The sequence below is a fragment of the Homo sapiens genome, chromosome 3 (genome assembly GCF_000001405.40).
Source record: "Homo sapiens chromosome 3, GRCh38.p14 Primary Assembly".
In the NCBI taxonomy this organism is placed as follows: Eukaryota; Metazoa; Chordata; class Mammalia; order Primates; family Hominidae; genus Homo; species Homo sapiens.
This window is the reverse complement of record NC_000003.12, coordinates 100966968-100989367: the sequence shown is the minus strand read 5'-3', so window position 1 is coordinate 100989367 and position 22400 is coordinate 100966968. Positions and strand designations below refer to the sequence as shown.

The 22400-nt window shown below is 38.1% G+C and overlaps 1 protein-coding gene across 57 annotated transcripts in view, besides 1 other annotated feature; it reads left to right on the top strand.

Annotated features, from left to right (window-relative positions):
• ABI3BP (ABI family member 3 binding protein) overlaps nucleotides 1–22400 on the top strand; it is a 244266-nt gene that overhangs the window by 4054 nt on the left and 217812 nt on the right. The window lies entirely within an intron of this gene.
• Nucleotides 6429–6723: a silencer, noted in NCBI's record as "tiled region #13899; K562 Repressive non-DNase unmatched - State 24:Quies". NCBI's record gives its function as "represses a minimal TATA promoter and a strong SV40 promoter by Sharpr-MPRA in K562 cells {active_cell/tissue: K562}" and the evidence as "EXISTENCE:reporter gene assay evidence [ECO:0000049][PMID:27701403]".

Genomic DNA, 22400 nt, shown 5'->3' with positions numbered 1-22400 from the left:
TAATTTAGTGCTTCATATTTTAATGTGGAAAACCTAATTAAATTATTGAAGCTCCTCCATTGTCTTTGTCTGTTTCGTGCTTCTGTGACAAAATACCTGAGACTAGGTAATTTGCAAAGAACAGAAGTTTATTTTTCACGGTTCTGGAAGCTGGGAAGTCCATGATCAAAGTGCTGGCATCTGGTGAGGGCCTTCTTGCTGCATCCTCACATGGTGGAAGGCAGAAAGGCAAGAAAAGGATAAATTTCCTCCATAAGACTTTTTATAAGGGCACCCAATCCCATTCACAGGGAAGGAGTCCTCATGGCCTAATCACCTCTTAAAGGTCTCAGCTCCTAATACTATCGCACTGGCAACACCTGAATTTTGGAGGGAACACATTCAGACTATAGTACCTATGAAGCAGGTAAACCTATTATTCCCATTTTACAGAGCATAAAATTGTGCCTCAGAGTGTTTAAGTAATTTACTCCAAGTAATATAGCTAGAAAGTGGCAAATGACTATACCTTTAATTTTGATGCAATATTAGTTCCCTGCTCTATGTAAAGATACATTAATTCATTCAAGTAACAAATTATATTGGATGTATACACAGAGCACTGAGGCTGGGGAGACAAAGCTTGGCACTTGTCTTCAGGGAGCTGACCAGCTTGTGGAGAAGATAAGGGACTGGTGTGGAAAGGGATAATTACAATAGAGAGGGGTCATCCTTCAGTGTGGGTGAAGCACAAAGCATTTTGAGAAAAAAAGGATCCAATCTGGATGGGAGGTATGAAGAATTATGAGAGAATAAGAAACCCAAATAGAGGTCTTGAGTACAAACACAAGTTGAGACAAGGAGAAGGATTGCTGAGAGGTGAGGGGCTTTCTCAACAAAGGTAGCTGCTGGCCCAGAGCCCAGGCAACCCCAGGGGCCAAAGCTCAGTGAGTGTTAAAGTACTGAGAGGGAAGCCTAGACTGAAAAAAACCATACAAGATGTAACTGTGCTCTCCTTGTCTCTATCTGGCCTGACTCCTCATGATTGATTACAAAGAGGAAATAAAATGTTGTCTTTGGAGAGGAAGGCTCTTACACCTTGCTCTGTCAACTTTCCAGCTGCTCACCTGGCAGCTGGCTCTCCATGGAGCCCTTCCAACCTCACTTTGACAAAACAAGAATGTGTCACTCCAACAGCTCAGTCCACTTCTCCAAGAGGTGGTTGATGCTTATGGGAGGCTGCAGAGGATCTCGTCCATCTTAAGTTATGGAACACAGGATACTGGTGAGGAGTGCAAAGCCTACTTGGTGTGGTTCTGCTTTTATTTGAGTAACATATATTTATGTATTGCTGGGACTGTATTAAACAGTACGTTAGAAAAAAATGGTTCTGCTGCTAAAAAGAAGCTTAAAAACCACCAAGCAAGAAATTATTTTAGCATCTTTTACAGTTCTAAATTTTCTTGACAGTTTTATTGATGTGTTTGTCTATCAATTATTAAAGATTATCAGTAGTCCTTAATAATTCTTAAAAGTATACTAATAATCATCATGTTACATATCAATGGTGTTTAATGCTGTGTTTATGTAAATTATCTCATTTTATCCTCACACCTGTGAAATATTATTATCTCCATTTCACAGATGAAGAACTAAGCTTAAAGAGTATGTTAGCTATCTATTGCTGCATAAAAATTTTCCACAATAATCTTTAATTGACTGTTAATAATCCTTAATAATCAATAGTCAACACATCAAGCCCAGATTATTAAGCATCTACTAGGTAAACTGAATGAGATACAGCCCCTGCTATAAAAGAACCTTATATTACAAAGGTAAAAACTGACCAAATATAATTTGTCCTGATGCTAAATTTAGAACCTGAGGTTTAAAAAAATAAAGTTTTCTTGTGTTAATTATACATTCACTAGTTTAGTTTTATAGACTGCTATATTGGGCTATAAGATACTGTTAAGAATTTTTACTATCTTCCCCTGTCTCCCTTCAAGAAAGAGAGGGGACACAGGGGAACACCTGAAAATAGAAGAATTCATCAATATAATATTATAGCAAAGACAGTTAAAATGTTATAGGCTAATGTGAGTTTACAGAAGGCTTTTTAAAGACATAAGTGAGGTGTTTAATGAAGGGAATGCCATTCAGGAGATGGGACCAATCACTCTATCTGGATCACCACCCTCAGAAAAAATTTGCCTTTTGCTGTTCCCTGATTGCAATTTATAACAGTAGGTATAAACAAGACAATATTGAAAGTAAATAGGTGAATTTAATAAAATTGATCTCAGAATAAACATAAAATTAAGAAATAGGATACTCTAATGTGATTATCTAGATTATCTAGTTATCTAGAGAGATTACTAGTCAAATAAGAATACATTTGTTAAAATGACCACCAAAAAGTAAAAATAAATAGTATCAGCTAAAGAAGGAACATGCTAAACATAATATAGAAAAACAATAATTGATATACATATATTCAATTAAAATAACATTTTAAAAGATGATAACCATATTACTGTGTATCAGGCATGATATTTAATGCTAAGTGTTTATAAACATGTGAAATATATATTATTATTAGCTCCATTTCACAGATAAGAAATTAAGTTTAAAGAGTATATTAGTGTAATCCCAGCACTTTGGAAGGCCGAGGTGAGCAGATTACTTGAGGTCAAGAGTTCAAGACCAGCCTAGTCAACACGGTGAAACCCCATCTCCACTAAAAATACAAAAATTAGCCAGGTGTAATGACAGGTACCTGTAATCCCAGCTACTCAGAAGGTTAAGGCATGAGAATTACTTGAGCCCAGGAGGCGGAGGTTGCAGTGAGCTGAGATTGTGCCACTGCACTCCAACATGTGCAACAGAGCAAGACTCCATTTCAAAAAAAAAAGAGTATGTTAGTTATCTTTTTCTTATAACAAATGTCCACAAAATTATCAACACACATTTATTATTTCACAGTTGCTGTGAGTTAGGAGTCTGAGCCTGGTTTAGCTGGGCAGACTCTCCTCTCCTTCAAGATGTCTCACAAGGCAACAGTGAAGGTACTGGCCAGAGGTGAGGTCTGATCTGAAGGTTTGCATGAAGAAGGATTTACTTCCAAGCTCACATGGTTGTTAGCAGAATTCAATTCCTTGAGGATCATTGGTCAAAGGGCCTCATTTTCTCACTGGCTATTGGCCTGAGGTTGCTGCAGGTCTCTGCCTCATAGGCCTTTCTATTATGGCCACTTGCTTCATCAAAATGTACAAGCCCAGGAGAGTCTGCTGGTAAGATGGAGGTCACAACCTTATGTAGCTGAATCACAGAAGTGACAACCCATCACTTCTGCCATATTCTACTGGTTAGAAGCAACTCACAGGTTTACCATACAAGTTGATTGTATACCTCAGATTATGTAAGAGTCTATCCACCACAAAGAGCTCAATGGCTGGTAGCAAGTGATATAGTGAAACTATGAATATGGGAAATCTAACTCCAGATAATATACTGGTTTAAGCATTAAAACTCCGTCAACTTCCTAAAGAATTAAGCATTTTGTGGCAGATGCCAACATTGGCAAACTGCTAATTTGTCTCCCTCAGTGCTTGAGGTTAATTATAAGAAATCTCTGAGAATTGAGATAAATATCTTAAGAGTACCAAGTAAATATTCAGCACCCAATATGGACCTTGTTTTCTGTATACAGGATCCCAGTCAATGCCTAGATTCCTTTGCTGGTTTCCTCTGTGGTCCATCAAATGTGGTTGATACCATGTACAGAGGCACACAAAATTCCTCCAAAATAGAAAAAACGCTTTTATCCCTGACACCATCTCTTAAAGGAAACGACAAAAACATAAGAAAAAAATTAACATAGTAGGTAATGAACACCTATGAACCTGATGATACAGTCCTGATAAAAATGTGCTTTTCTGGCCAGGCATGGTGGCTCATGCCTGTAATCCCAGCACTTTGGGAGGCCAAGGCGGGCGGATCACGAGGTCAGGGGATCGAGACCATCCTGGCTAACATGGTGAAACCCTGTCTCTACTAAAAATACAAAAAATTAGCCGGGCATGGTGGCACGTGCCCATAGTCACAGCTACTCGGGAGGCTGAGGCAGGAGAATCGCTTGAACCCGGGAGGCAGAGGTGACAGTGAGCTGAGATCGCAGCACTGCACTCCAGCCTGGGCGACAGAGCAAGACTCTGTCTCCAAAAAAAAAAAAAAAAAAAAAAAAAGTGCTTTTCTGAAACTTCAGTGGAGTTGCTTTTAGAGTAAATGGAAGTTACTGTAGGTCTAATTAAACTTGTGTGTAGAGAAAGAAAATATACTTTTATCAGTGGATGTGATGGAAGCAACTAGAAAAACCAGAGGAGTTTCTCTCAGATCCTATTTAGTGTTAATAAAACAATTTTTCCATATGCTCTCAGGAAAGAAAATTTAGGTTGTACACAGAAAATATTCTAACCATGACACTCAGACTCTCATAGACTGTTTAATACTAGATACCCTGTGGGTCTCTTCTCTAGTGTACAGTCTTCTCTTGTGTTGGGAAGGCCCCGAAAGTGCAGGAGGCACATGGTAGGAAAGGCTGGCTTCAAGGTTCTCAGACTACTTTGGCAAAGTTCTGTGGACAGCAAGACTAAATCAGTACTTATTCTACTCCGTATAATATTAGCTTGGGTTTCCCACCAAGAGCCTTCCACAGCAAGATTGTTATAGTGTGTTGTAGGTTTCCCTCACCTACTAAAGCCTTGACATATATTTACAGTGATTTTGATGAACATTTAAGGCCTGTCAGTACACATGCTATGAAATCAGCTAATGTTCCTTTCTGTGGAATTCTAAAGAAGGAGCTAGAAGATGTGGCATTTTCATAGAAGATTTGTCATCATTCTCCAGTCAAGGATCATACTTTGAAAGCCCAACCATTAGAAAACCAGGGCAAATTCACCCACTTCAAGCATCTTCTGGTCACACTAGAAATTAATTTTAGAGAAAATTGAGGCCTAAGTCACATCTCACCTATGACATAGCAATTCAATATTTTCTTCATTTAATAAGTTTACCTATGACTATAAATACTATAATGTATATCCCAATACAGGCTATAGCCCAATATATTTAATCCTGGATGCACATGAGAATAGTAAAGTTTTCAAAAATATCAGTAATGCTCTGCCTCCCCAACAAATTTATTTTAAATTGGTCTAGGGTGGGATTTTTTTTTTTTTAACTCCTCAGGTGATTCTAATATGGCCAGGGTTAAGAACTACTGATTTGGAGCTTTTTGACAATTTGTATGTATAAGTGCTTGATAAATAAATCTTTCTTGATGAGTACAGAGTAAAATTTAAAGGTTGCAAGTACGTTTTTCTACTATTTAAGTTTTGATTTCTGTAAATTTAAAAGTGATTTTTACTTTTATGCTGCTTTGCTCCAGGATTTTAAAACATTGTTTGAAAAAATTTTCAGACTCCCTCCTGAAGCTATATAAAATAAGTAAATGTGTAAAATTGAGATGAGCATTTGGTTTTAGTGTTAGAACATAAGTGCTACTCTCAGAAGCCAGATCTGAGGAGCTGTGACTGTGATTTTTAAGAATGGACTTACATTTATTCATTTTGTCATTTAATTAATATTTTTTAATCATCGTATTAGGATTACAAAGATGAATAAGACATTTCCTGCATTTAAGGGGTTTGAAATCAGTTCTATTTAAAAATACTTGGCCACGCAAAAGTCATTTACTTTTATATGAAACTGTTGGTGTGTTAATTCTTTATCCTCATTTAACAACCAACATTTGCAGGAGCTAAGCTATCCCACTGTGTTGCCATGTACTGGCTTTAAGTGATATACATAAGAAGAAGAAAAATGAATTCAAATGTAATCTGTTAAGAAAAACAAAGCACCTCATGATTTCAGTGCAAAATATAGGAGTTAAGTAAATATGCAATGGATTTCCATACTCAGAAAGTACGGGTTATATAAATTATACTGAAAATAATTTCTTTAATTGTGCACATTTATATATTCCAGCTGATTTTTGTATTTTATGTTAAGGATAATTTTTCAGCATGTAGCATGTCTTATAATCTGAAACATATTTAAAATGTATTCCACTGTTTCTCTAATGTAATGGAAGTTCTCTCTTCTCTGAGTAGTGGTGAATGAAACCTTGCTAAGACTCTGAACAGGGGCGCTTTGCTTACAAGGTGATGCCAAGGTGGAGCTTCAGATATCCTTTCTCGTTAAATACAATTCTGTTATTTTTCCATTCTGTTAGCTGATAAGAAAACATTCTGGTTTTCCAAGGGTCCTCCTGAGAGGCCACTGTGCACGTGTGTGTGGGCATGTGAGACCTAACAGGCCTTGCTTCTCTGAGAGCAGCGGATTCTGGTGTTCAAGGAGGGGCTTGGAGTGTCTGCCAAAGTCATGCTGGCAGCGAGCTCTGGAATTCAGTTCTTTTCCAGCTATGTCGGCAGGAGATGCAGGACAATTTCCTTCTCCTTTCACTTTCCCAGATGAAGTTAAGACACTCTGGCCAGTTAGTTTAGAGTAAGGTATCAGATGACCTGGAAGACAGTCCCTCCATTCCTCTCCAGGCCCATCCTCTCCAAACTCCCCTAATGATCCTGCTGTCACAGAATTCTTCCCTAACTATTCCTTTTTACAAGAATTAAAAGGAAAATGATTCTGGGCATGCTCTCCCATATCAGGTTTACCTAATTTGTAGTTTTGTTATGAGCTGGAAAGATAAATACTGAAAATTAGCACCATGGGTTAGTGGGTAAAGTGCAGGAGTCCACGTGAGCCCGAGTAAGTCATTAGGTTGGTGCAAAAGTAACTGTGGTTTTTGCCATTAAAAACCACAATTACTTTTGCACCAACCTAATGCTTCACCTTTCTGAACATTAGGGTTTTTTTCTCTAACAAAAGGAAATAATAAAAGTATCAGTCCTCTTTAGCTTTCATTAACAAGTAATATTCGGGTGGCATTAATGGATTTTTTTGATAGTAACTTTCTTAACCAAAGTAAACAAACGTGAAGACCAGGTACATTTTTAAAACTCTTTACCTGCCAATATAGTTTGGCTCTGTGTTCCCACCCAAATCTTGTCTCGAATTGTAATCCCCATAATCCCCACACGTGGAGGGTGGAACTTGGTGGGAGGTGATTGGATCATGGGGGTGGTTTCTCCCACGCTGTTCTCGTGATAGTGAGTTCTCAGGAGAGATGATGGTTTTATAAATGGTAGTTTTTCCTGCACTCTCACACATTCTCTCTCTTGCCTGCTGCCATGTAAGTTGTGCCTGCTTCCCCTTCTGCCATAATTCTAAGTTTCCTGAGGCCTCCCCAGCCATGCAGAAGTGTGAGTCAATTAAACCTCTTTCCTTTATAAACTACCCAATCTTGGGTATTTCTTTATAGTAGTGTGAAAATGGACTAATACATCTGCCTTGGCAGTGATGGAAAGATCTAGATACTCCAGTAGCCTGGACACTGGTGCTGAGCAGAAAGACACCCTTTCTGGGTGTCAAAGTCTAGAGTGTCTGAGCCTGTGGTGTGGCATCCACACAGTGAAACAGGATCGGCAGAGAGGAGCCAGGACACTGGGAGTGTTTTCAACATAATTCTTGCCATGAGCATCCCACTCCTGTACTCTCATCCAGCTCTCCCTGAAGGAGTCTGGAAGATCCTGCTCAGAGCATATTTGTCTTTTACGGTGAAACATCTGAAAGTACAAGTTGTGGTCTTTGGTCATTTTTTTCTCCGCCTATCCTTGGGATGCAATTCCATGTGACTTAGCCTGCTCCTGGATGCCTGCTGCAGTCTGTCTGGTCAGTCTGCAGGTACTGGATTGGTTTGATTGTGTGACTCTTTTTCTGCACTCCCTCTTTTTGTTCCCAATCATTCTCTTTCCTAAACTTTCATCCTCCTTCTCCTGCCCCTCCTCTTTCTCCCTTCTCTCAACATGATGAGAGTCTTCAGAGCATTCTCCTGGCTTCCACCCCCAGCCACTCCTGCTGACCACTTTGGCCCATGTCCTTGCCTCACAGCTGACTCCTCATCTGTTTGGATGCAGCAGGAATTATCCTTTGGAAGACAATGCACACTTTATTTTTTTTTTTAAGGCAAAAGTGTTGTTTCTATGTCATGCAAAGTATTCCACTTGGTTGAAGAATATCATTGCTTCCTGTTCATTTATCTTGGCATGACCAATCTTAGAAAAGCACACATTTATATTCATTTGATCAGCTCTGTGTATATCAGATTAGACAAACCATAACTGTATATTCACACCATAGCATTCCTAGATGGCTTTGGCTATAACATAAATCACTATGTCCCTCGAAGGGTGGCAACAACATATGCACAATAGCAGTCAGACATTATAGTGTTCTTTTGTAAAGCTGGTTTTCAATTTATTCTGGATGTTTGTTCTATTGTAGTTGGAGTTTGATATTTTGAAGAACTTGCAGAGAATTCTGCTGTTTTCCAGTGGATCTTTGAGTTGGATCTTGAGTTCAAATGTCATATTTCTCTTCATTTGTCTTGTAACCAATATTTCCATGGAACTGAGTTTCTGTGTAAAGTGTGCCCAAGAAATGGTGATCCTGTAATTGGTGACTAGATCACAGTTGCAGGCATTTAATACTATTTCAACATATAAACCTCTTTCTTTGATCTCCATTTCTCTGGCTGGCTGTCTTCTTTGCTATACTCAATAGATGACTTCCAAATTTTCCTCTCACTCTTTGTTTACAACCCTCTTCTTTCCCACTTGCGTGTCTTCTCAGGTTCTAATTCTTGTGCTTGGAAGACCCTCATCATCTCTGCTATGGTAACTTTATATGTTCTGTTGGCTTTTAGACTTTTATAACCCATATTAATAGTGAATACTGGAAAAAAATGTGTATTTCAGTGAGCTTTCCAAATCCAGGTGTGTATGTGTTTGCACTGTGCATGCCATGTTGGATTGTTGTGCTGGTTCATCTTGTGATACAAATAAAAACCAAGGGAGGCTGAGGCGGGAGAATGGCGTGAACCGGGGAGGCAGACCTTGCAGTGAGCAGAGATCATGCCCTACACTCCAGCCTGGGTGACAGAGCAAGACTCCATCTCAAAAAAAAGAAAAAAGAAATAGATGAAAGTCCTACAAACTGACTAAATTTGGTGTGACACACAATGAATTTTTGAATGATCAACATATTGGCAGTAGTATGGTTTAGGGTTTTGCTCTAATGTATAATAACCTACTTGCAAAATTCTTTATAGACAGTCTTTCAGCAAAACAAGTGATTTTGAACATTATCCCATTTTGTGAACAACTCAAATTTTAAATATTGATATTACAACTGAGTTACCAGAATGACTAATAAGAAATACCATTGGATTACTTAGAGAATTAACAATACTTCATAGTACAGGTTAGTCAAAATTCCTTCTCCACATGTTCTTGGCAATAAATCCCATTTCACAAATTTTCAAAAACATATCAGTGCCTTTTCAAATATTCTCAGGTGCCTTTCTCAGATGTTTACAAGGAATGTGCATTGAGTCCTATAATCCCATAAATTTGTGAGCTGAATTGCGTTATATAATACTTGTTCTTTATTGGCCATTCAGTGCAAACATCTATTTTCACTTATGCCGGAAAATTAAGACAACAAGTATTTACTGTGGTGTTTTCCAAAGTCATCATAACCCCTGGCTCAGATGTCATCTGTAAGGTTTCCGTGGTGTCCCAGAAAAGTCCATTTCAAACATTCCTTTTCATGGTTGGAGGTTGATAGGCCACAAAGGGACCACAGATGTTAACACTAAATAAATTTCCTGTGAATTATCAGATAATTTAAAAGGCATTAAAGGATAAGCATTAACAGAGTAAAGATCCTTTTAGGGATATCTCTTTCTAGGGACTTTATTATTTTGTGAGAGTAATCTTCTTTTAAAAAAAATGGCAAGAAACATTTACCTCTGTTTGTCAGCTCTGAATCTAAAGTCTCTCACCTACCCTTTTTCATTTATGAACTTGCATCCTACATCTACAAGGCCTGGTTGTGGAAGATAATTAGATGGATATGAAAGAAATTTTATGACTTGACTTTGTTTTATTGAAACATGGCTATTTAACAAACCTAGAGATAATGACTCTCACTCTCAGTATATGGAGAAGCAAAGAATCACTGAGCGCAGTGGTCCTCTAGCTTAGCAAGCATCATCATCTCTTAGAGGGCTGGATAAACTCAGAACACTGGGCTCCATCCCCAGAGTTTCTGACTCAGTAGATCTGAGGTGGGATGGTTTGAATAATTTGCGTTTCTCACAAGTTCCCAGATGATACTAGCAATGCTGGTCCTGGGATCACATTTTGGAAACCACTGACTTAGTGAATCTGCTAAGTATGCAGAATCCTGCCTCCCCTAACCTCCCCCACTTTCACTCCTCCCACCCTTACTATACTCACATCAGATTCTGATTCAGTTGTTCTGGTAATCTGCATGTTAAACAACTATCACTGATGATTCTGATGAGATTAACCATGCATTGAGAAATAATGCTGATCTCTTTACAGAATCAGTACAAAGCACTCGGGTACTACTTTGAAGAAAGTGGATAATATAAACTTAGCTAATTTACTTAGTTCTAGAAATTTGGAGAATTTGTGCTTTCTGTTGTTGAATATATGATAAATGTCTGTAGAAAAAAATTTAGCTGATAGAGTGATACCCTCTAGTTCTTGAGATGAACTTGCTGGCTGCCTTTTATAATTAGAAACTATTTTTTACCATAGCTAGCTGGAGCCCTGGGCAGCACTCGCTTGACATAACCTTGTTTGGTGGTGAGTAATGTCTAAAACTTCAGTTGAAAGGTTTTTGTGACATTATGAGCTATTAGTGGGAGTCATTCCACTTGTGTATATGTATTAAAGTTAATGCCTAATATTAACCAGAGGCATATGTTAACTGTAACCCAAATTCAAGAAAACTCACAATAAAGTATGGACAGTTTACTTTACTAGGTCAATGAAGAAAGACACAATTGTGACACTAAAGATGAATTTGATACTTCATGTGAATGTTTTCTGTCATTTTGTCTTACACAGAGTGCTAGCCAGCCCTTCAGCTAGAATTGGACATCAGCCTATTGTTGAGCATTAGCTATGACACTTGCACTTGGCAGCCAGCTGAAAACATTGTGTGTGTAGCTTGCAGGTTAGAGCTTCTTTTCTTAAGCTCAGGGGAGCCATAAAACCCTTGAAGCTGCATGTAGACTAGTACACTTGTGGGTCTGTGCATTTTCAGGAGTGTTGGTCTTTGGATATTGAGCTTCTTGAAGAAGTCTAAGAGCTGATAAAACTTAAGAGCTGTCTAGACAGATGCCTTTTACCAAGCAAGAATTAGGATGGGTCAAGTGAAGGGCTGGAAGAATTACTACCATATGCATAGATCATGCAGAGAGGGCCTCGAGATGGTCCATGAAAAATCTCATACTTTGTAACTAAGATGTGAACACACAGTTTATTTTATGTAATTTCTTTTGATGTGGTATAAAAAAATTTAAGTGTGGTAGTATCCAAGGTGGCCCTCAATTATTCTCACCTGCTGTTATTCATGCTCTTATATAGTCCCCTTGCACACTGAATCAAGGCTGGGCTGTGTACTCATTAAATATGGAAAAAGTGAAGTGAAAATATGTAACTTTCAGAGGCTAAATCATAAAGGACATTGCAGTTTACACCTTGTTCATTTTCTTGGATCACCCAATCTGGAGAAAACCAGCTGATGTGTCATGAAACACTCACGCAGATCTATGGAGAGGTCCACAAGGTGAAGGGCTTAGATTTCGTGCCTATATCCAGCACAAATTTGCTAGCCATCGGAGTGAGCCATCTGGGAAGCACATCTTCCAGCCCCAGTCAAGCCTTCAGGTGATGGTAATCCTGGCCAATATCTTAACTGCAACCTCATGAGAGATTCTGAGCCAGGACTGCCCAGTTCAGCTCCTCCCAAGTACCTGATCCACAGAAACTGTATGGATGATGAATGCTTATTGTTGATTAAGCCACTAAGCTTTGGGTTAATTTATTATATAGCAATAGATAACTATTAATGTAGGGAGCATATGTGATGCCTTTTTAATTTTAAAGGACTATTTAAATGGAATAAAAATAGAATGAGAAGTGTAAATAATCTTATCTGTTGGCATATGGCTTTGGAAATGTAGTTTTGCCTATGGGCAAAAGAAAATTGGAAATAAACACGGGAAGAGAATTTTGGGATCAATTACCTTTCCAGGACCACAAAAAAACTGAGCATAAATGCTGATTAAAGAGTGATTGGAAAAATACATGAATAATTATCCCTTTAAAAAAATTCATAGAAAAATGTTTGGTAGTTTAGAGCAGCTAAAGGACCACATCTCCAGAGGCCTTCATAGTTGGCCTTGTCTTTCATTCCAGAGCCCATCTCAGGACTGGCCTTAGGCCAAGGGTGTGGATCTGTATTGGTCCTGCTATCATTTAGAAGAGTCGACCTGTGCCCAAGATAGCTTAAAGACAGCCAGATCTGAGATCTGCCCCGTAGCTGACCTACATCCCCGAATTCCCCTGAGGAACAAATGGGCCTCCTGGGACAAACTTGGATCAGGCCAAGCTTTCATCTCCTTGGTCTTAGCTTAGACCCCATCTTGAAACTTATGCCATGGCATTCTCATGTAATTGTATCTCCAGGGTAGGCATTATGAAATTTCTCATCTCTTATTAAAATACCATTTTCTATGCATCTAACATTATGAGAGAATAAATAAAGAAAGAAGAAAAATGGTTACCATCCTGGTGGAATTTATATCCTAGCAAGAGGAATACACAAACCAAACAGGATACTACAATGTAATAAATGCTAAACTGAGGAAGGAATACAGCTGAACTGGGCTTTATTCCTTTCCAAAAATAGTTTTATTTTTCTTAGGAGAATTGGGAAGGCTTTGAACAGGGCGCCTTCTCTGCCATTCTGCACAATTTTATGGCATTTCCAGAAGTGTTTTATCAAAAAAAGAAAAAGCTTTATGTAGGGAATATTTTATATGCACCCTCTGTGAAGGGTGAGAAAATTTTTCTAACCCCAAACCAGAATACATGATAAATATGAATATATTTTTGAAGAAGCAGGCAGCATATTTATAAATGAGGGCTCTCTCACAACATTAAAGACATTTTAACTCTATATTTTACCTATAGTTTACTTCATTAATGGATGCCATTATTGCTTTAAGCTGAACACATTTGCTCCCTTCAAAAATACTATTGTTTATAAAATGATTATGAGGAAAAATCACAGACCGTTATCACCAGTTGCTAAGGCCTTACTAAGAAAGCATATAACAAAACATAAAAATTGGGTAAGAAGTTTCTATCCAGTTGGCCAGTTCCTCGGCCAGTCAGGATCTGGGTTGCTTGGATAATACAGGTCACAGGGGACAAGGAGTCTTCTGATTAGTGCCTCTTCCCAGACCAAATACCCTCTGGATTCTGAGGGTTTTTTTATATTTCAGGGTGGGGTTTTTTTATTTACTAGTATGTATCATCATTCAGGGAACCACAAGGCCCCCTGTGGTCTCTTGCTTTCACTCAGATTCAAGGCAAGTTGGACTTGACCTTCTCAGAGCATCCCATAGTTGCCAGGGAAGGATTGTTTTGGTGGTGAAAACATGTTATTTTCTACCCCTCCTTTATTCACCCTCAGTACACACACCTAATTAAACAAGCAAAACATTCAGGCTTTTGAAGCTAATGCTATTTGTGAAGGACTGAAAAAAATTGAGTCAGGTCTAAAAGCATCGTCCCAACAGGGAGGGTGCCACTAGAAATGTCACAACTGTGACTAGAGACCAACTATTGTATAATCCATTTCCCATCCTGTCCTTGGAAATGGGGAGCTCCTTCATCCTTAGCAGCCCATCTCCCCCAAGGCAGCTAGATCACAGCTGGGGCTCCCTTCTAAAGTGACTCACTTGCTCCTAGGACTCCCTTACTAGAAGCGCAGGTATATTGCTTTGAGGTTCAATTTTGTTATCTTGTTTACTAAAGTTGAATTTCAGTATGACAATACAAGGAAGCATCTTCTAATGATTAAAAGCTTTTATCTACATCCAAGTGTAAACATTTTTGATTTTTGCAATATCCTTCTCTTTTTTCTAAGACAAAGTAATAATAAAAATTCTCTTGAAAAAAATCCCTATACTATTACTAACATATGGAATTATTAAATAATCTTCAGATTAATATATTAAAATAACTAACCTCTTATCAAATTAACTTCTTATCAAAATAACTAACTTCTTATCAAATAACTAAGCTTCTTATCAAGCTTTTTTGCCGAGACTGTCTATAAACAACTTGCTTGCTGTCTCTTACAGAGAGAACATCTCAAACAGCATCTTGGGCAGGTTTCACTTTCTAGAATGCTCCTGTCTTGGGATACCTGTTATTCCATGTCACATTCTAAAGCTAACCGTGACTTATTTTGACATTACTTTCAGATAATTAGTAAATATTCTTCTGTAGTTATATCTTAATCTAGGTAATAAGCAACAAAATACCTTTCAAAAATCTTTCTAGGTTTAAACACACCATAAAAGTTCCCTTCTCTAGTTCCTTTGTCTATCTAATTGCTATGTTCAATCCAGTAAATTTTTATAATTTGTCAATGTTAATCAAGTAAAGCATTTCCATCTCCCTAGAATGTTCCACTGTGCCTTGTAGTCAATCCCTTCCCCTACCCCCAGTTTCTGGCAACCACTGATCTGATTTCTCTCCCTATAGTTTTGCCTTTTTCAGAATATTCTATGAATAGAAGTATATTAACTTTTTTTGTCCGTTTTTTTCCACTTAGCACAGTTCTTTCATAATATATCCATGTTGTTGCATGTATTAATAGTTAGCTCCTTTTACTGGTTGAGTAGAATTTCATTATATGGCCATGCAGCCACTTGCTCATTCACCAATTCAACAGTAGGGTTGTTTCTAATTTGGGGCCAATATGAATAAAACTGCTATAAGCACTTGCTTACATAGGTCTTTGTGTGAACACACATTTTTATTTCTCTTGGATAAATATCTAGGAGTGAGATTGCTTTTTGTCATATATTAAGTGTTTGTTTATAAGAAACATCAAACTGTTTTTCCTAAGTGGCTACAACATTTTTTTAATAGCAAGGTATGAAGATTTCAATTGCTCCAAATCCTTGCCAGAACTTGATATTGTTGATTTTTTTATTTTGTGTTTTTATTTTTAGCTGCTAATAGGAAAGAGTCAGGTAAGTTTTGAGTCCATATCTCTATTCGTTAGGCATACTTGTTAGGCATATTTCTTTAAAAAAATGTATGATCCATTTTCTTAGAAACCGCATCTTGTCTAAAAGGTATAATAGTAGGCAAATTAATTTGCTGAAACTCATACTAATTTCTTATCAGATGAGATAATATGTGGAAATCGGCTACATTTGCCTGGCACAGAGGGAACTTTCAAAAAAGTTTAGTCTTGTCTCCTGTTCTGACTATATCTTGTATTCATGAGTCATCGTAAGCCAAACATTAAAATTCTATAACTTAAATTGAACTGTCATATAGTTTTTGCCATTTGAGGCTTCAAGAGTCAAATTAAGCCTGCTTTAAACACTTTGAAAGACAGTGCTCTGGGGAAGAAAATGCTAGCTAAATCTGAGCATCTCACGTTATGCAGAAATTATTGCCCTTATCTTCATTCATAATGAAAGTGTTGGTGAAAGAAGGAATGAAGCAGAAAAATGATCACTGGATTGGAAACAAAACTCCTCTGTTTTAGCCCTTACTCTGCTTCTAACTGGACAGGTGACCTTGGGAGAAAAAATTTAACTTCCATGGGTCTTATTTTTCTCATTGAAAAAACCCAGAGCTTAATACAGTCGATTCTCATTATTTGCAGTAGTAATGTTTTATAAAGTTGCTGGAAACACCAAATTAGCCAAACCGTTGTTTCTATGGGGAAATATGGAGTTGGATTCCTGTGAGCCACTGGTCACAACATTTTCATCAATGGATCAGTACATAACTTTGTTTTATGTGTGTTTCTGTTTAAAGATGCCTTACTTAATACACGTTGTTGATTCATTAACATTGAATTCATGGCCAACAGCAGTAGAGCTCATTACTGAATGAAGCTTATCTAACTCACATTTTTGCTCCATAAGGCACATCACAGCCTTCTTGTGCTCAGAAACTCCAGACAGCCCTTCAGCACCACACTTAGGGCCTGCTTAAACAGTGAAGTCACTAACAAAAAGCACAAAAATGGGAAAGGTGTGGTGCTATGTCAACTGTGAAAAGGACACTTGTTTACAGTCTGAGAGCTGAAACAAGAAGGCAGAGCATCACCTTGTTCAACCTCAGCCAGGAACATGCACATTGGGTGACTCAGATTTTTCTCCATTCCTCACATGTCCACAAATAAGTCTGAAAATGCTTTGTGTATTAATTTTGGGATTAAAAACCAATGTTAATTAGTAGAAACATTTGCAAATGTGGAATCTGCAAAATAATGAAGCTTGGCTGTTATTTGCTACTTCTGTTCCGTAGGATAAATCATGCATGTTGATGTGAAAGGATGTGGTGATGCTGTTATTGCTGTTTTAGCATGGGTGTTTTCCCCAGCCAGGGGCTAAGAAATCCAAAACATTCAGGAAAAAAAAATGAATCAATCTCAGTACTTAAATACTTCACTCTCTGTGCCTCAAACACCATAAGCAAATTAGAGAAACTGGAGAACCTAATGGAAATGTTTATTTACTTTTAAAAATGTGCATTAACTTATGAAGATAACATCTTGATGAGAGCCTTAAGTGGCAAAAATAATAACTCCATTGTTTCTTTACAGTGGGAAAGGGCTTGTTGGAACCTGGTTGTTTTAGTGCACATTTGCAGATGCCTGTAGGACCGTTTTTAAACTAAGTGGTCATCCATCACTTCTCTTGTTGGCCCAGAGATTAATTTTCACATCTTAAAAGTACTTTATAAATATTTGCTAGCACTAGTTTATTTGCAGATCCCTTTCAGTACAGAGGGGTTTTTCACATAAAAATTTGATTTTGCTTTTTAATTTAAAAAGCACTTTCACACAATTATCTCACTTTAATTTATATGATGTAAGTTTTATTTCTAAAATATAATGCAGATGTTGTTTTAATGGCAATGCTAACTTTATGATAAAAAAGAGATTCTAAATACATTGATGCATGGAGCTAGTGAGGTGAAATTACCAGGTGGCAGATATGTGTTCGTGAGAATCCAGTGCTTAAGGGAAGGATGACATTCCATCCCAGCTGCCCTTCTCCCTGCCCCTTTTTAGGAAGGCACACCCTTCTCAGCCCGCATTTCTGTGATTCCTCCACTGAGAAACTGCATGTTGATTGGACTGGCAAGAATCCTCACACCTCCTTTCTGTTTTAATTTCCATTTTAAAATATATTTTTAATGACCTTGTTCCTGATCCTGATCTTTTAAAAAGCTGTGGTTTTGCTGGGACAAAGAGCAAAACACATCTTGATGAGCAGATGAATGAAATCCAACTTCCATCAGCATCTATTAAACACCCACCACATATAAAGCTCTGTGCTTACCAGCTGCTTTGATTTCAATTGTAGGATATAATCCCATGTAAGGCATTTTTGACAGTTAAGGGGAAAAATTCTAGAACAAGTGGTGAGCATAAAAGTGGAAGAGTGGAAGCACGTTTTGTCTTTGGGGGCCACCCTGTGTTCTCCATCCTGGACCTGGTGACCCTAATATCTAAAGATTCATCTTGCCCCATTCCAAACTTGCCTTCTCCTTATAATGCTGTCAGCTCCAGACTATCCCATCACCATGCTTGGTCAAAATATCCCTAGTTAGTGCCTCATTCCTGCTAGCCTACTCTTGAAAATTATCTGCCATACTTATTCTCTTGAAACACTTGCTTTTTATTTACCGATGCTTATGTAAAGTCCTAATTCAAGAGAATCAGGCCTGTCTTCTCTAATGGGAAGATTTCAACCACCAGGTAGCATTATAATGGAAGAATTTCTTAAATCATGAGATCCTTTCTATGTCTCTTAAAAGTCTTGTCAAATAAGTGGTCACCTCTTCTGTTTAAATGTCAACTGGGTCCTGGAAAATGTACCAAGCAATGTCTTCACTGCAGAAATTCCTAACTGAAATACAAATGTTTGCCTGACACTTGCGAGGCATGCTGAGGAATGCTGTATATTTAGAGGCTGTATGTTTAATCCAGAAAATGGTATCAGCAGCCACCAAAATTCCTTGAAACAGTTATAATTACCAAGAAAGCAGCTTTAAGAACTCTTTGTTTGATGTACATCTTGGAGTAACTCAGTTTTGATTAGGATTTAAGGAAAACAACTCTTGGCATGGAGCATGTGACATGGGCCGCTGTGAAGACCACTGCCCAATCATTTCATTTGGATACTGAGATGAAGTAACAGTTACTAACAGGTGGCAGTTCATGGCCCTCCCATGCTTCTTGGGCACTTGAAAATTTCCAGAAGCCCTCACTTGTAAGGAGAGGGAGAACAGGTGCTGCAAAGACAGAAGAAAACTTTCAGCACAAGCTGCAGAGCTGCTCTCCTGGTGGAACTACCCTGCGAGGAGGAAATAACAAGCCAGGAACTCGTGCTGCCACTTGACCGCCTTTCGTCCTCCTCCTCAAGCCTGAGGGCCCACAAGTAGAGGAGTGAGGTCTATCCATGTGAGAGTCTGGGACTCTCTAGAGCGATCAAAAGCAAGCAAATTAATAAAAATTGCTTGAATTGTTTTATGTATTTGAGAGGGGCAAGGGTAAGACCCCAAATCCCAGTCTGGGTCCATATGTCTCTATACGTCACATTATTCTGCAACTGGATACCTGTGAGTTGGGCATCATGTACTTTGTCATATTTTTTAGTGTGTTCCCTTTGGAAGGAACTGTAGCTACTTCCCCAGGTGTCCAATGGGGTGCTCCATTTTTCACAGAAACAAAAGCAATATATTTCAAAGTCAAATTGATGCTTCTGATTTTACCACTGAGCATTGTTATGGAGTACGAAGCCTAATTTCTGCTTCAAATCAAAAGCCAGTCGTTCATTCAACAAATACTTATTAATTGCTCATTATAGTTCAAGATCTTTAGGAGAATGCGTATGGATAAGAGTGCCCTTTCTTTTTTAACAATATAACAGAGACCCAAACAGGCCATCTAGGCCTGTGACTATAGTAGATTTTAGGCTGCAGCAAGAAGTTAGAGGAATGACCAAGGTTAGGCTAGACCTGTACCTATGAGAGTAGCCCCATGGGAATATTCTATTGAAAGAAATGCTGTAACTCCTATGTAACATGAAATTTGTAAATGAAGGCCATTTAATAATGATTTCCTTTGTAGAATATGTGTAGCTTGTTGATTAAGACTAACTTTACATGAGCAGGAAAAAAGTATATAATGCATTTTCCTCTAACCTTAAAAAAAAAAGCTTTACTCTGCTAAGATTATTGGGGATTTCCTCTGGCTCTTGGCAAATGGTCTACAAAAAAATGAGTTAACACTCTTAGATGTGGACTCTTCCTACTCCACCCTGACTCTATTCCAGCAAAAGTCATTCTTCCTTTTCAAAAAAACATGATTTTTTTTCTTGATGACGTAGATTGGCTTTTCCATCTGTTTAGAGCTATGCCTCGAGATTTAAAGATAGTGTAGGGTTTTTTTCTCCTTTCTTTTCAAATGCACACTTTTGGAACAAGATGCTGTTCTGTATATAGCATTTATTATTTGTGATTGATGGAGAATTTTTTTCAAGTTTATAATAAAATCCAGAGTCAAGGATCTGCTGCTGGCCACATTTATTGGGCGAGCCCATCCCTTTAGTACTTGGCTCTTGCTTTTTTTGCATGAGGCAGCAGGGGATGCCTGATGTGGGGCCGGATTGGTAGGCAGGAGTCCAGGGTTCTAATTCTGGCAATGCCACTGGCTAGCTCTAGAGCCCTACATATGTCATCTAACCACACTTGGCCTCAGCTTTAAAATGAAGAGCTTGGTCTATAATCTCTAAACTCTCCTCTATCTCTAAAATTTGGGATGCTGTACTCCATATGTAAGATCACTTTGGGAATTGCCTTGTGGCTTACTGCAGGCTGTATGTGTGGAAGTCCTGGCTCTGATTCAAGTCTGTGACTTTCTTGCTTCATGGTTTGCATCACTTAGACCATGTCTATGCTTCCCCGCCCTTTGTATCAAACACTGGATCTGCGTAAGATGAGGCAATACTGACCTTATTGGTGAACAGATTACTCCTTCTACAGGTTTGAAAAAGCTCAGCAAATCCCAAAGGGCCCAGGCCTGCAGGAGAAACTGCCATTCAAAGAATAATCTGTACTTTTTTTTAAGACAGCAAATTATGAGTTGAACAATGAGAACATATGGACACAGGAAGGGGAACATCACACACTGAGGCCTGTCAGTGGGTGGGGGGCTAGGGGAGGGATAGCATTAGGAGAAATACTTAATGCAGATGACGGGTTGATGGGTGCAGCAAACCACCATAGCACGTGTATACCTATGTAACAAACCCGCACGTTCTGCGCACATATCCCAGAACTTAAAGTACAATAAATAAAAAGAAATGAAAAAAAGTACACTAAAAAATCAACAACATAAAATTTTGTTGTAAATAGCTGTCACTTAAGAGAGCCCCAAATAATCTTCAAGTTACTTTTCAGTTTAAAAGATACAGACCAAGATACAGACCAAGATTTCAACTTGACCACACACTATGGATTAAATGATTACCTTTAATTTTGTGAGATGGTTTTTAAGATCTGAGTTTTCACTTTCCTATTTGATTACACCAAAATCACAATTAAAATAAAACTAGGTAACATAGGTGGCAAAATACTATGTATTTCTTGTATAGCTGTATACATTTCTTATTATGCAAGAGAATAATAAAGTGAAAAAAGTGTACAAATTGGATTATCCCTGTTCTCTTTCCAAGTGCTTTAAAAGAGATTTTTAATCCATGAAATTCCTTCCTTGGCATTTTATTCCCCTTAGGAAAAATATATATACATATTTGAAATTTCTGAAATGGATCATTCAGGATTTGTTTTTCTTAACAGGATTTTGGGATTCAAAGCTGTATATTATAGTAATAGAATAAAAGGCTGAAAGTAACTTCAATCATATACAGAATATGGGGCAGGTATGGCCAGATTGTTCTATTAGAACTCCCCAGGCTCGTCCATGGCAGTCTTGCCTGTGTCCTCTAATATCACATAGCCCCATTTTGATGTCAGTTTCAACCATCTGATGGTTGGCCCCCTCCTAATCTCAGTCATTTCAGTGAATTTAAAAAGGCAGTGTGGCTACTGACCTAAGTAACTACAGTTGTTTCACATAGGCATGCATTGTTTTTTCATTTTTTTTCTTTTTCTGTGCCCCTTGTGAGCAGGAATGAATGTATATTTTTATGAAGATGAGGCTGATCTGAAAACTATTGTCTATTTGCAGATTAAAATTGTACCTTTTATAAAATGTTCATTGGGGCATTTCTATTCCTAGACTAATATAGTAAAACTTAAAGGTCAAGTTAGTTGTAATTATTCTACCTTATTGAATTGTTTTTGAATTGATTGAAATCAGAATATTACAAAGAGGCATGAGCAAATCACCATAAAATTGGAATAATTTTTATTGCATATTCACAAGTTAAATTGTTCTTTGTAATATTGGTGCTCCAAAAGGTTGAGAGGCCCGACATGTCTGAAGCATCATCAATCTCTAATAATATTTCTTTTTTTTTTTTTTTTTGAGATGGAGTCTCACTCTGTCACCCAGGCTAGAGTGCAGCGGCGCTACCTCAGCTCACTGCAACCTCCTCCTTCCAGGTTCAAGTGATTCTTCTGCCTCAGCCTCCCGAGTAGCTGGGATAACAGGGGCCCACCATCCCAAGCCTGGCTAATTTTTGTATTTTTGACAGAGACAATATTTCACCATGTTGGCCTGGCTGGTCTTGAACTGCTGAACTCAAGTGATCCACCCGCCTCAGCCTCCCAAACTATTACGATTACAGGTGTGAGCCACCGCACCTAGCCCTCAAATAATATTTGATTTAACAAAATTTTAAGGTAGCAAAACTTGAGCTGTCACTTGGAATTGATAGGAATCCAACAAGATTTACCTTTATTAGTCAGAATTCAGAGACCAAAACCCCAGAGGGTATACAGTTCAAGCCTTTCCCTTCACAGATGAGAAAATTGAGATTTAGGAACATTAAGTCAATTAACCATGATTACACTGCTAATCAAAAACAGACCTGGGTCTGCCAATAAGTCTCCCATATCTGA